General features: G+C 48.5%; 1 long non-coding RNA gene across 1 annotated transcript, besides 1 other annotated feature; it reads right to left on the reverse strand.

Annotated features, from left to right (window-relative positions):
- Window positions 2,874–3,373: an enhancer, noted in NCBI's record as "H3K4me1 hESC enhancer chr22:28217251-28217750 (GRCh37/hg19 assembly coordinates)". NCBI's record gives its function as "activates a minimal SCP1, AML or CMV promoter by ChIP-STARR-seq in naive and primed H9 embryonic stem cells {active_cell/tissue: H9 hESC(naive and primed)}" and the evidence as "EXISTENCE:reporter gene assay evidence [ECO:0000049][PMID:30033119]".
- LOC107985529 (uncharacterized) lies at window positions 7,089–12,064 on the reverse strand. The gene is made up of 2 exons (XR_001755624.2): window positions 9,252–12,064; window positions 7,089–7,364 (listed from the first exon to the last, which is right to left on the reverse strand). It is a non-coding gene; the product is annotated as an uncharacterized LOC107985529 (long non-coding RNA).
- Between the last annotated feature and the right edge of the window lie 2,254 nt (window positions 12,065–14,318).

Consider the following 14,318-nt stretch of genomic DNA (forward strand, 5'->3'; position numbering starts at 1 on the left):
CACATTCTCCTTCCTGGATCCCTCTAATACTCTGGCCAGAACAAAGCACCATAAGGAAGATGAAGTTCAGAGTCGAGAAGGCTTCCCAGGATCACAAAGCAAGCTAGAAACAACTCCCCACTGAGGCTGGAACCCACCTCCTGACCTCCAATTGTGAGATCCTTTAGTCTCAGAAAATCAAAACCATCTTCTTCCAACCCCCAGAAGAAATATCAGGCATGACTCCTCCAACCAAAGACAACTACCCAAGAAGTACTCGAAGTTCAGCAGAATCTAATTTTGCACTGGAGGTGACTAGAGCATGGGGTCACCTCTACACTCGCATAGAAAAGGCCTGGGTTTGAACAGCGAGAAGGGGCCATGCCCTCTCTGAACGTCTTAGCTACAGACCTGTCTCCACGGGGCCTGGGATGCCCAGAGAAATGTGGATCCTCTGGCACAGGCATTTGAGTGTCTCCTGGCAGTTACAGGCGTATACGAAGGCGGCCGAAGAGCCTGGCTCACCTGCCTGATGGAAATACGTCTCAGGAACACCAGGCCCTTCAAGTTGGTTTGACAAGCTCCCTTCTGGAGACGCTGGGGTCCTCACTGCTAAGACAAATTCCTGACAGAACCCCATACTCACCTTGACCTTGGGCCGCTGGGGGAAGCCTGCAGAGGGTTTGACAGAAGCGCACAGCGCAATGTCAAGGCTGCTGCAGAGGGGTCTGCAGAAGACAGGCCCAGACTGCCAGAGGATCATGGTCCATCCCGGCACTCAGCAAGGCCAGCACCCTCTTGGAGCCTTTACTTCCTCATCTGTAAGAGGGAACAGCTGAAATCCTATCCCTGGAGTCACTGTGAAAAGTCACATTTTGGGTTTTCTAATTTATTTTTTTTAGAGACAGAGTCTTGCCCTGTCACCCAGGCTAGAGCACAATGGTGCAATCACAGCTCACTGCAGCCTCACCCTGCCAGGCTCAAGCGATCCTCCCACCTCAGCCTCTCAAGTGGCCAGACTACAGCCACACGCCACCATGCCCAGCTAATTTTTAAAAAAAAATTTTGCAGAGATGAGGTCTCATTATATTGCCCAGGCTGGTCTGAAATTCCTGGGCTCAAGCTGTCCTCCCACCTCGGCCTTCAAGTCATGGTTTTTTGTTTGTTTGTTTGTTTGTTTGTTTTACGGAAGCGAAACTCACAGGATGTAAAATTGACCATTTAAAAGTGAACAATTCAGCCGCGCATGGTGGCTTTTGCCTGTAATCCCAGCACTTTGGGAGACAGAGGTGGGCAGATCATTCGAGGTCACGAATTTGAGACCAGCCTGGCCAACATGGTGAAACCCCATCTCTACTAAATACAAAAAAATTACCCAGGCGTGGTGGTGCACACCTGTAATCTCAGCTACTCAGAAGGTTGAGGCAGGAGAATCGCTTGGACCCAGAAGGAGGAGGTTGCAGTGAGCTGAGATCACACAATTGCACTCCAGCCTGGGTGACAGAGGCTCTGTCTCAAAAAAGAAATAAACAAAAATAAACTAAATAAATCTAAATAAAATTGAATGCTAAATAAAAGTGAACAATTCAGCAGCAATTAGTGCCTTCACAATGTTGTACAACCACCACTTCGATCTAGTTCCAAACATTTTAATCACCCCAAAAGGAAACCCTACACCCATTAAGCAGTCACTCCCCATTCACCCCTCCCCCAGCCCCAGGCAACCACCAATCCACTCTCTGTCTCTATGGAGTTGCCTATTCTAGACACTTCATATAAATGGAACCATGTAACTATGTGGCCTTTTGTGGCTGGCTGCTTTCACTTAGCAGAATGTTTCCAAGGTCCATCCATGTTGCAGCATGTCTCGGTATTTCATTCCTTTTTAGGGCTGAATAATACTCCATTGTATGGATATACCATGTTCTGTTTATCCACATCAATGGACATTTGGGTAGTTTCTACCTTTTTTTTTGAGACGGAATCTCGCTCTGTCATCCAGGCTGGAGTGCAGTGGCACAATCTCGGCTCACTGCAAGCTCCGCCTCCCAGGTTCACACCATTCTCCTGCCTCAGCCTCCTGAGTAGCTGAGACTACAGGTGCCTGCCACCACGCCTGGCTAATTTTTTGTATTTTTAGTAGAGACAGGGTTTCACCGTGTTAGCCAGGATGGTCTCGAACCACCTTTTGCCTATTGTGAATAATGCTGCTGTGGACCTGCGTGTAAATATCTTTTTTTTTTTTTTTTTTTTGGAGCACCTACTATGTGCCTGGCATGGCCCTGCGCACTGAGAAAAAGACAGGAAAAAAAGCTAGAAACCTGGTCATCTTTCTGAGCCCTGGGTCTGTGTGATACAGCATGCGTGAGGCAGGTGGATTACACGGTGTGGTACCTGCTGGACAGCTTCTCTATCAGTTCTCCTACTCACCTCAACCAATATTGGATGAATGAATGAGTGAATGAATGAATGAATGAACCCATGTCTTCACTTTATTCATTACTGGATCCCCAGTGCCTGCAGAGGGGTGACACGTGATAGATACTCAACATATGTTTGCAGAATAATTGGACCTGAAACCCAATGCCTGGTCCCACAGGGGAGCACAGGGCTTACATTCAGATCCAAACTCAAATCCTAACAGTGCCACTCATGTGCTGGGTGACCTTGACTCAGTCCATCCCCTGCTCCCTGCTCCACGTCTGGAAATTGAGGACGGTGCTAGTGCCCCCTCTCCAGGCTACTGTGATGAGATCACCAAGGCTGGGAAATATTAGGGAAGGGGGGTTGCCAGACTCCGGACCTGCAGAGTTAAGCCTTCCTCCCCCACCCCCACCACCCCATGTCATGTGGCTGGTGGCAATTCCCTCCAGGACAAAAGGCCCGATTTAATCCAGCCCACCATCACCACTGTCGCCACTGGGACACAATGCGGCAGGTTTGTGGCCAACGTCTGCCGATCTGGTTTCGTGTAACATCCCTGCCAGCCTGCCCGGGCCAGCAGACAAAGGCCTCTTTGTTGCAAATATGTTTTTTAAATCCCTGAAGATATTAGCAGTGCGGGTGAACTCACACTGTGAAACAGTTCAGAAATTGTTTAAGGACATGTTTCAAACTGGGGGTGATCATTTAAATGGAATCTGCCCTCCTGCTTTCTTATCGAGAGCAAGATTCCTCAGAGCCAGCTTGGGCCCTGGACCTGGGCAGGGAAGTTTCCGAGGCCAAATAACCCTAACACTCATCGTAACAACAATGCCAGCAGCCATTTATGGAGTCTGCAAGGCCAGACGCCGGCCCACTTGTGCATTTGTGCATGTGACCGCCAAACCTCGGCACTTAGAGAGATTCAGATGAGCAGTCCCATTCTACAGATGGAAAATCTGGGGTCTAGGGAAGTGTTGGCGCACGTCACAGCTGGCCTTGAACAAGGTTTGTTGGATCCTCCACACAGCCCCTGTGCCCTCTTCATGCTGTTGATGGCCACAGGCACGGAACACATCCTCACCTCTGAACTCTGTCCCATCAGGCACCCAGGAGGGCATCCGACGGGCACCTGGTCCCCTCACATCCTGTTCCTTCAAGTTCACACAAGAAGGCCTCCTCCAACACATCTCTCCACCTACTTCTCTGTTACCTGGGCTGAGTGCAGTGGTCACAATCATGGCTCACTGCAGCCTCAACGTCCCAAGCTCCACCAATCCTCCCACCTCAGCCTCTCGAGTAGCTGGGACTATAGGCACACATCAACACACCCAGCTAATTTTTGTATTTTTTAAATTTATTATTATTTTATTTATTTATTTTGAGATGGAGTCTCACTCTGTCACCCAGGCTGGAGTGCAGTGGCACAATCTTGGCTCACTGCAACCTCCACCTCCTGGGTTCAAGTGATTCTCCTGCCTCAGCCTCCTGAATAGCTGGGATTATAGGTGGCCACCACACCTGGCTAATTTTTTTTGTTTTTTGTTTTTTGTTTTAATTTTTGTTTGTTTGTTTGTTTTTGAGATGGAGTCTCACTCTGTCACCCAGGCTGGAGTGCAATGGGGTGGTCTCGGCTCACTGCAACCTCTGCCTCCCGGGTTCAAGTGATTGTCCTGTCTCAGCCTCCCACACACCTGTGACTACAGGCGCATGCTACCACACCTGGCTAAATTTTGTATTTTCAGTAGAGACAGGGTTTCACTATGTTGGCCACACTGGTCTCAATCTCTTGACCTCGTGATCCGCCCACCTCGGCCTCCCAGAATGCTGAGATTAGAGGCATAAGCCACTGCGCCCAGCCTTTTAAGGTATTTTTTAGTAGGGACGGGGTTTCACCATGTTGGCCAGGCTGGTCACGAACTCCTGACCTCAGGTGACCCACCCACCTCCGCCTCCCAGAGTGCTGGGATTACAGGTATGATTCACTGAGCCCGGCCCTAATTTTTGTATTTTTTGTAGAGACAGTTTCACCATGTTGCCGAGGCTGGTCCACCTACTATTCTCACCTCCTCTGGGCAACTCCATTAGTCCCAGACTGTGCCATAAACTTCAGTTTTTAATAAGTGACAGTGATGACTCTTCAGAGCTGTGTGGGGGCCTAACCTGGGCAGGCAGTTCCGTACCCCTCAGAACCAGGAGAGCACTGTGGCAATGAACTCAGGCTCAAGTCAGAAACGCCAGCTCTATCTTAATTTTCACAAACTGTGACCAAGGGCAAGTTAAAAGTTAATTCAGGTTTATCAATAAGTTAAACTTAGAATTACCCATAGGCCCCAGCAATTCCACTCCTAGGTATAATAAACCCAAAAGAACTGAAAACAGGTCTTCAAACAAAACTTGAGCACACCTGTTTATAGCAGCATTATTCATAATAGGCAAAAGGTGGACACCATCTAAATGTCCATCAGCTGATGAATGAATGAAAAAAATGTGGTACATGTATCTATGCAACAGAATATTATTCAGCCATGAAAAGGAATGAAGTCTTGATGCATGCTATGTCATGGATGAAACTTGACAACACTGTGCTAAGTGAAAGAAGCCAGACACAAAAAGTCATTGGTTATATGATGCTATTTATAGGAAGTGTCCAGATTAGGCACATCCAGAAACACAGAAAGTAAATGAGTGGTTGTCAGGGCCTGGGGGTGGGTTGGGCAGGGGAATAGGTACTGACCGCTTAATGGATATGGAGGGTTTTTTTTTTTTTGTTTTTGTTTTTTGGTGTGAAGATGCCCTGGAACTATTTAGAAGTCCTGTTTGCATAACACTGTGAATGTACTTAATGCCACTGAATTGTACCATTTAAAATGGTTAAAATGACAGGGCACAGTGGCTCATGCCTGTAATCCCAGAACTTTGGGAGGCTGAGGAGGGCAGATCACTTGAGGTCAGAAGTTTGAGACCAGCCTGGCCAACACAATAAAACCCCATCTCTACTTAAAAATACCAAAATGAGCCAGGCATGGTGGTGCACATGCCTGTGGTCTCAACTACTCTGGAGGCTGAGGCAGAAGGATTGCTTGAACCTGGGAAGCGGAGGTTGCAGTAAGCCAAGATTGTGCCACTGCACTCCAGCCTGGGTGACAAAGCGAGACTCTGTCTAAAAAAAAAAAAATAGTTAAAATGATAATTTTATGTTATGTACAGTTTTTAAAAACTGCATGTCACTCACCTCTCAAGAGGTGGTGTGGGAGCAGGAAAGAAATCATCAGAAGACACAGGTCCCCCAGTTGATCTCTGCACACCGTGCTGGGCACCCTCAGGCAGGTCAGCGCACCTCTCTGAACACTATTATCCTCTGTGTCCTGGGACTATTGCCTTTGGCTCTGCAGACCTCACAGGCTCAGGGGAGGCTCATGCGGGAGACTACAGGGCACACCATAAAGTGCTACAACGAGGTTAGAATCGTAAAGGAATAGTACCACGATTATGAGAGCACATAAGAATAGAGCATGATGTAGTTTTGGATATCTGTCCCCACTCGAATCTTATGTTGAATTGTAATCCTCAGTGTCGGAGATGGGGCCTGGTGGGAGGTGTTTGGGTCATAGTAGAGGATCCCTCATGGCTTGGTGCTGTTCTCACGATAGTGAGTGAGTTCTCTTGAGAGCTGGTTGTTGTAAAGCATGGCACCTCCCCAACCCTTCTCTCTTGCTCCTGTTCTCATCATGTGATGGAGGTACAAGTTCCCGCTTGGCCTTCTGCCATGATTGGAAGCTTCCAGAGACCTCCCCAGAAGCAGATGCTGGAGCTATCTATGTTTGCTATATAGCCTGTATAACTGTGAGACAATTAAACCTATTTTCTTGTAAATCACCTAGTTTTAGGGATTTCTTTTTTTTTTAGATGAGGTTTCACTCTTTCACCCAGCCTGGAATGCAGTGGTGCCATCTCAGCCTACTGCAACCTCCATCTCCCAGGCTCAGGTGATCCTCCCACCTCAGCCTCCTGAGTAGCTGGGACTACAGATGTGTACCACCACACCAGCTAATTTTTTGTATTTCTTTGTAGAGACAGGGTTTTGCCATGTTTCCCAGGCTGGTCTCAAACTCCTGGCCTCAAGTGATCTGCCCACTTTGGCCTCCCAAAGTGCTAGGATTACAGGTGTGAGCCACCACACCCAGCCAGGTATTTCTTTATAGCAATGCAAGAACGGCCTAACTCAGAACCCTTGGGCTCCATTCTGACAGCTAAACATCCCTTCCATTGGTCAAGCTTTCCTCCCTTTCCCAAAGGGCCCTACCCCGCGTTGTCTCATAAAATCCCTGGAAAGAAGGCAGGCCAGAGATGAGCAGGGGTTCTTCTCCCAGTGTGACCTGCCAATGTGGCTTCCCTAGCTGGCTTTCCAGAGGACGCCCCCTGGGTGTGCACATGGAGGGGGACGGGGAGCCTTCAGATGTCTACTGATGTTGGTGAACCTGGACCTATCTCATTGCCAATGTGTCTTGTTAAGAGAGAGCAGGAAGCAGGAGCAGGCACACCAGCCTTGGCGCCCCCTGCTGGCACTCTGCTGCGCAGGCCATGTTCTTACCTCCAGGCCTTTGCACATGCTGTTCCCTCTGCCTGGAACTGTCTTCCACTGTATTAGTTTCCTAATGCTGCTGTAACAAATTACCACAAACTTATAAGGCTTAAAACAAAACCAATTTATGAATTGACAGTTCCGGAGGTCTGAAGGCAGCCATGGGTCAGACTGGGCTAAAATCGAGGTGCTGGGGCTGTGCTCCTTTCCAGAGACTCTAGAGGAGCTCCTGTCCTCTTGCCTCTTCCAGATCCTGGAGGTTACTGCATTCCTTAGCTCCTGGCTTTCTCCTTCCATCTTCAAAGCCAAGCAGCGTTGCCTCTCTCCAGCCATTCTTCCGTAGTCACACCTCCCTCTCAGCGTGGTCAGGAAAAGCTCTCTGCTTTTAAGGACCTAGATGGTTAGATTGTGCCCACCCAGATAATCCAGGATAATCTCCCCATCTCAAGACTCCTTAACCCTAATCTCATCTGCAAAGTCCCTTTTGCCCTGTAAGGTAACATAGTCACAGGTCCTGGGGATGAGGAGGAGGATATCTTTGGTGGCTATTATTCTGTCTACCACAACCACTTTCTCTTACCTTGCCTACTTGTTCAGTGATTCAACGCATACATTTTGAGTGCCTACAATGTCTCAATGCTGGGCAACCGTGGTGAACAGGATAAATGCAGCCTCTGCCATCATGAACCTTCTAGGCTGGTATTTCTTGGTGTAATCACCACCTCTAAGAAACCTTCCCTCACTGCTCCCTCGGACCCGCAAGCTGCTCCATTCCAGCACTGTCACTTTGCAAGGTCTCTGGCCTATCTCCCCAGCCAGACACCTTAAGGACTAGGAGTGTGTCTCATTCACCTCCACATTGTCAGAGGCCTCACCTAGCAGCATGAGTATTTGGGACACATTGATTGAATCGGGTGAATGTGGGTTCCATCTCCACTCCACTGTCTCCAAGCTGTGTGACCTTGGGCAATCCCATTCCCTCTCAGAGTCCAGGTTCCCTGGCTCTACAGTGGGTATACATGGCAGCACCTGGCTTCAGAGGTTTTTGTAAGGATTAAATCAGATAAGGTCCATCATGCATATAGAAGGTGTTCAGCCAACTGGCAGCTCCTTTCTCTCTTTGAACTGTTTCATGGACGCAGGCTCTGAGTTAAGTGTTTGCAATTCTTGATCTGGGGCCAACACTGAAATTATCCCATCCCTCAGATTTCTCCATCAGAGAACCAGGTTATAGGAGCATTCACCACAGGCCCATTGGTAAACACAGTGTGGCTGCAGGTGCCAGCCTCTCGAACAGAACTCTCCCCACCCCAAAAACACCAAATACTGGCCGGGTGTGGTGGCTCATGCCTGTAATCCCAGCACTTTGGGAGGCCGAGGCGGGTGGATCACAAGGTCAGGAGATCGAGACCAGCCTGGCCAACATAGTGAAATCCCGTCTCTACTAAAAATATAAAAATTAGCCAGGCATGGTGGCGGGTGCCTGTAGTCCCAGCTACTTGGGAGGCTGAGACAGGAGAATTGCTTGAACCTGGGAGGTGGAGGTTGCAGTGAGCCAAGATCATGCCACTGCACTTCCAGCCTAGGCGACAGAGTGAGACTCCATCAAAAAAAAAAAAAAAAAAAAAAAAAAACCACCAAATGCCACCTTTTGGAGGACTGGCTAGAAGTATGGAAGCTGGCCAGGTGCCGTGGTTCATGCCTGTAATTCCACTTTGGAAGGTGGGTGGATGGCTTGAGCCCAGGAGTTCAAGACCAGCATGGACAACATGGTGAAACTCCATCTCTACAAAAAAAAAAAAAAAATTAGCCAGGCATGGTGGCATGTGCCTGTAGTCCCAATTACTGAGGAAGCTGAGGTGGGAGGATTGCTTGAACCTAGGAGGTCGAGACTGCAGTAAGCCATGATTTCACCACTGCATTCCAGCCTGGATAACTGAAGGACACTGAATCTCAAAAAATAAAAAATATAAAAGAAGTATGGAAGCTGAGTCTTGGCTAGATATTCATCAAGAAAGCCCCATGAAAACTGAACATGCATCTATCTGCACACAGTAGGTACTTCATCTGACATCATGCAGTGGTGGTCTATATTTTGGAGTCAGGCTGACCTCGATTCAAATCGCTACTCTCCAGTAATCAGTACACTGACCTTGAACTAGGGTCTTCCATTTCTCTGAACTTGATTTTTCTCCTCTGCAAAATGGGGATAATAAGAGGACCCGTTTGTGAGGAAGAAATATGATAAAGGAGAGAAGTGTCTCACCTGGAACCTGGCATGTAGTAAGGACAAGATCACGGTGAGCTGTAATGATCACAGGAAAAAGCCCACCACCGTTGAGGAAGCAGCCAGGAGACGGGGCCCCTGGAAGTTACACCAGGTCAGCCTCCAATTTCCCGTAACTCGGCGACTCCTACTCGCCTGGTAACTTTGGAAAATATTATCTTAGTGTTTGCAATTCTTGATCTGGGCCCAACACTGAAATTATTGCAGACTTTCTTCTTCTTTTTTTTCTTCTTCTTCTCTTTTTTGACAGTTTGAGCAAAAGGAGTTGTTTTTGAACTTCAGGAGGGGAAAAACACGCGCTCACGCACACGCCCCAAACAGCATCATTTTGCAGGACAAAATGTCCCCTGTGCTCCAGAGCAGGCAGCCCCAGCCCCACTTCAGCAGGCCTCACAAACACTTAGTGTCACTGCGGGTTATGTAAGCGTGGTTTGGGCCTGTGAGGTTGGACGTGGCCTTGGGTTTTGAAAGGAGGCAGGGGAGTTTGGGTGAGGAGCCGTTCGGCTCAAAATAAATCCAGGAACTCAGTGCAGAAAAAAAATAAATAAATAAAATCTCCTAGACTCTACCAAAAGGAATATTCAGATGTATAGTCTGGAGTGTCCAGAACTGAGAAAACACAAGCCAGACTGTGGCCAACATGGCTTTCTTGGCCCCACCACGCACATGGGTGGGGCTGAGAGGTCGTGGAGTGTCACAACGTGACCTGTGCCGTGGGACAAGGTTAACATACAGACCACGTCACTGCTGGAAGGAAAACGCCAGTCCTTAGTATTTTCAAAACTGGTTGGTCCTTTTGTTCCTGGAGTTCCCTGCCTTTCCGTTGTGGTGCCAGATTTAGTGATTCCTACTGAACAGTGGGGTCAGGGCAGGCAAGCAAGATCTTTGTCCCAGGGAAAAGAAAGAAGGGGATGCAGGGTAACCAACTCATCCTGGTTCACCTGAGACCTTTCCCAGTTTCAAAACTGAAAGTCTCACATTCAAAGAAACCCCTCTGTCCTGGGCAAATGGGGACAATGAGTTGCCCTGCAAGACAGCATAACCCTAATGACCATCATAATCACTCTGGAGCCCTGATTAAGTGTCCCTCGACAGGCTTATATACATTGTCGCACTTCATCCCCCCAGCTGCCTTTCCAGGTAGATTTCTCATATCCATTTTACAGACAAATGAGGCTCAGAGGAGGAAAACACATGGGGCAGTGGGGGAGACAGGAAGATGCTCAGGGGTCTTATTAAAATCAGAGATTCGGCAGGGAACAGTTGTTCACACCTGTAATCCCAGCACTTTGGGAGGCTGAGGCAGATGGATAACCTGAGGTCAGGAGTTCAAGACCAGCTTGGCCAACATGGTGAAACCTTGTCTCTGCTAAAACTACAAAAATTAGCCGGGCCTGGTGGTGGGCACCTATAATCAAAGCTACTCGAGAGGCTGAGGTGGGAGAATCGTTTGAACCCAGGATGCAGATTTTGCAGTGAGCCAAAATCATGCCACTGCACTCCAGCCTGGGCAACAGAGTGAGACTCTGTCTCAAAAAAAAAAAAAAAACATTCCTGGCCCCCACCCCAGAGAATCCAGCCCAGTAGTTGGGGGGAACTGCATTTATAATGCACACTCCTGGTAGTTCTATGAGCAAGTAATTTCAATGTGCAAAACCCAACCCAGCTCCATTGGAAATTACCTTGGAACTGAGCATGGAAGGTGAAGTTCAATGGGGGCAGGCATTTGAGCTGAGGGAACAGCATGAGGAAGGGCACAAAGGTGTAGTGACAGGGGAGTGTATAGCTAAATATAATGTCCTTGATGGACAAAGTGGGAAAGGAGGCTGCCATTGACAGATCTGGGGCTTGAACACCAGGCTAAGGAGTTCAGGCTTTATCCTGAGGGGACTGGGGAGCCTCGCACGGCTTTAAACAGTTGTGACAAGGTCAAATTTGTGTTGTGGAAAGATGATTCCAGCTCTTATGCAGCAGTTATGTTGCACAGGAGTATGAGTGGAGGCAATAGAATAGTCAGGAGTGACAGAAACCCAGCGCAAACTGGCTGACACCAAATGGAAATTCATTGACTCATATAATTGACTCCTGCTTCAGGTATGGCTGGATTCAGGTGCTCAATTTAGAAACCAGCCTCTCTCCATGTCTTGGCTATGTTCTGGCTTCTTTCCAGACAGGCCCTCCCTCTGTGATGACAAGATAGTCTCCGGAAGCTCAAGGCTTGCCTCCTGTGGCTTAGCAACCCCACCAGAGAGAAAATCCCTCTTGCATAGAACTTTCAGCCAAAGTCTTAGAGCTGGCACTTGCTGGCTCTGATGGGCCCATCCCCCAGCCAATTACAGTGGTATCTTGTCGGCCAGGTCTGCATCAAGGCCCACCCCTAGAGTTAGGGCGTGAGATCAGCCCTATCCCAAATCTGCAGTCTGGGATGGGAGAGCGGGTGCTGGGCCCCAAAGGAAAATCTGGAGTCTGTCCCCAGGAACCTTGATCATGGACCATGTAGGGGAGAGAGCGAAGTGCCCCAGCTTGGGCTGGAACCCAAGGATTATCACCACCTGCCTGAAGTGGAAAGAGAACAATGAAGTGAGTGGCAGAAGGACACACAGCGACCCAACGGCATCAGGTCTCAAACTTCCTTCAGACAACCACTAAGGCCAGCAGTTTGTGATGGGAGCCCCTGCAGGGTGGGATTTCTGCACACACCCTGGACTGACCACAGAAGCTGCTCAGCGATTCTCAGAAACTTAAGAAGTAACTTCCACAGCTGCTATCTCAAAAGCCCCATTGTGATCTTTAATAACTGCAATTTTTTTTTTTTTTGAGATGAAGTCTTGTTCTGTCGCCCAGGCTGGAGTGCAGTGGCGCCATCTCAGCTCACTGCAACCTCCACCTCCCAGGTTCAAGCGATTCTCCTGTCTCAGCTTCCCGAGTAACTCAGACTACAGGCACACACCACCACGCCTGGCTAATTTTTGTATTTTTAGTAGAGACGGGGTTTCACCATGTTGATCAGGCTGGTCTCGAACTCCTGACCTCGTGATCCACCCTCCTCGGCCTCCCAAAATGCTGGGATTACAGGCGTGAGCCACCGTGCCCAGTGTGTATTTTTTTTTATGCATTAATTTCTTTTGATTGATTGAATGATTGAGCTAGGGTCTCACTCTGTCACCCAGGCTGGAGTGCACTGGTGCAATCATGGCTCACGGCAGCCTCAAACTCCCGAGCTCAAGCAGTCTTCCCACCTCAGCCTGCAGAGTAGCTGGGACCACAGGTGGGTGTCACCACGGACCTGGCTAATTTTTTATTTTTTTTGCTATGTTGCCCAGGCTGGTCTTGAACTCTAGGCTCAAGCAATCCTCCCACCTCAGCCTCCTGAAGTGTTGAGATTACAGGTGTGAGCCACCGCACCTGGCCTTTATATTTAATTGACAAACAAAAATTACATGCATGTATATACACACACAAGGGAATATTATTCAGCATTATAAAAGACAGAAACCCTGTCGTTTGCGACAACATGGATGAACCTAGAGGACATTATGCTAAGTGAATAAGCCAGACACAGAAAGATAAGTACGGCGTGATCTCACATATATGTGGAATCTAAAAAAGTCAAACTCACAGAAGCAGAAAGTAGGAGACTGGTTACCAGAGGCTGGGGGTGGGGCATGGGGGAATGAGGAAATGTTGATCAGAGTACCCAGCAATTAGACAGGAGGAATAAATTCTACAGGTAAATATTAAAAGGGGAGAACCCTCGAGTAATCTCTGGTCTAAAGTCAGGATTGAATGGAACAATCATATCTCACGCAATGGCCTCTCTGAATTGCAAGGTCACCAGGGGAAGACAGAGCCAGAGGCTGATGGAGCTGAGGTTCCTGAAGCATGGGATACCATAGTCCTTGCCCAGGCACTATTCATCCAGACATGCAGAGCCGTGGCTGCATGGAGTGCGGTCCTCACAGCATGAGCCAGGGAGTCACCAGTCTTGAGCTTCCCCAGCCCCTAACCCTGCCTGGTACACTGTGAGACCCAACAAATAGTTGTCAGATCAATGGATTGCCGCCCCAATTGTCTTGCACACCTCCGGGCATGGGAGGCTCACTGCCACCCAAGGCAGCCTGCCCCTTTGTTGAACAGCCTGCTGGAAATGCCGCTCTTGACCCCAAATGGCAAAATTATGGAGCAGCATCCAGGGAACTCTGGCTTTGGAATTTATCCCCACGAGATAATTCAAAAGCAGTAAAAACAAGTAATCAATAGGAAGGTGTTCATTCTAGTGTTGTCTGTCATGGTAGAAATCTAGCAGTGATCTGAATGCCTCACAGATGGCAAAGATTCTCTCTCTCTCTCTCTCTTTCTCTCTGTGTGTGTGTGTGTGTGTGTGTGTGTGAGAGAGAGAGAGAGAGAGAGAGACAGAGAGACAGAGACAGAGAAAGAGTGTGTGTTACTCCTGAGACACCACCACAATGGACAACCTAGCAACCATTAAAAACGTGAACTCTGAGAAGCATGTAGAAACATGAGGAATTGCAATCTAACAGAAAGTTAAGAAAAGCAGAATGCACATTGTGCCTGCAGCCACGTAAGCTGAATGTGCACAGACAGGAGGGGGTGGAAATAAGCAGGAGAGGAAATAGCTGTGCGGTCAGAGTGGCTGCACCTTAGGCTGTTTTAAAAAGCTTATTTACAATTGTATCTCCTCATTTTCTATGTACCATTATTCCCATTTTAGAGAGGAGGAAATTGACGCCCAGAGAACTGAAGCCATTTGCACATAGTGGCTGCTGGGACAAACCTGGCAGTTGACTCTGAGCCCCTTTATGATCCTGTTTGTCATCCCCTACCTGGGCCTGCAAGTTCTGCAGCCCTTCTGAGAGCTGAAGGCAAAACCCTTGCCCCGAGAGCCTTGTCTTCTTCTCGATGACCGTCCCTGTGCCCTCATTGTCCCCACTTGGAGACTTGGTCTCAATTCTCCCTATCACAGACCAAGAAGGAGACATGGCCAGAGATGCCTCCCCGATAGACAAGAATTGCCTGGAAACATTC

Source organism: Homo sapiens, chromosome 22 (genome assembly GCF_000001405.40).
Source record: "Homo sapiens chromosome 22, GRCh38.p14 Primary Assembly".
NCBI lineage: Eukaryota > Metazoa > Chordata > Mammalia > Primates > Hominidae > Homo > Homo sapiens.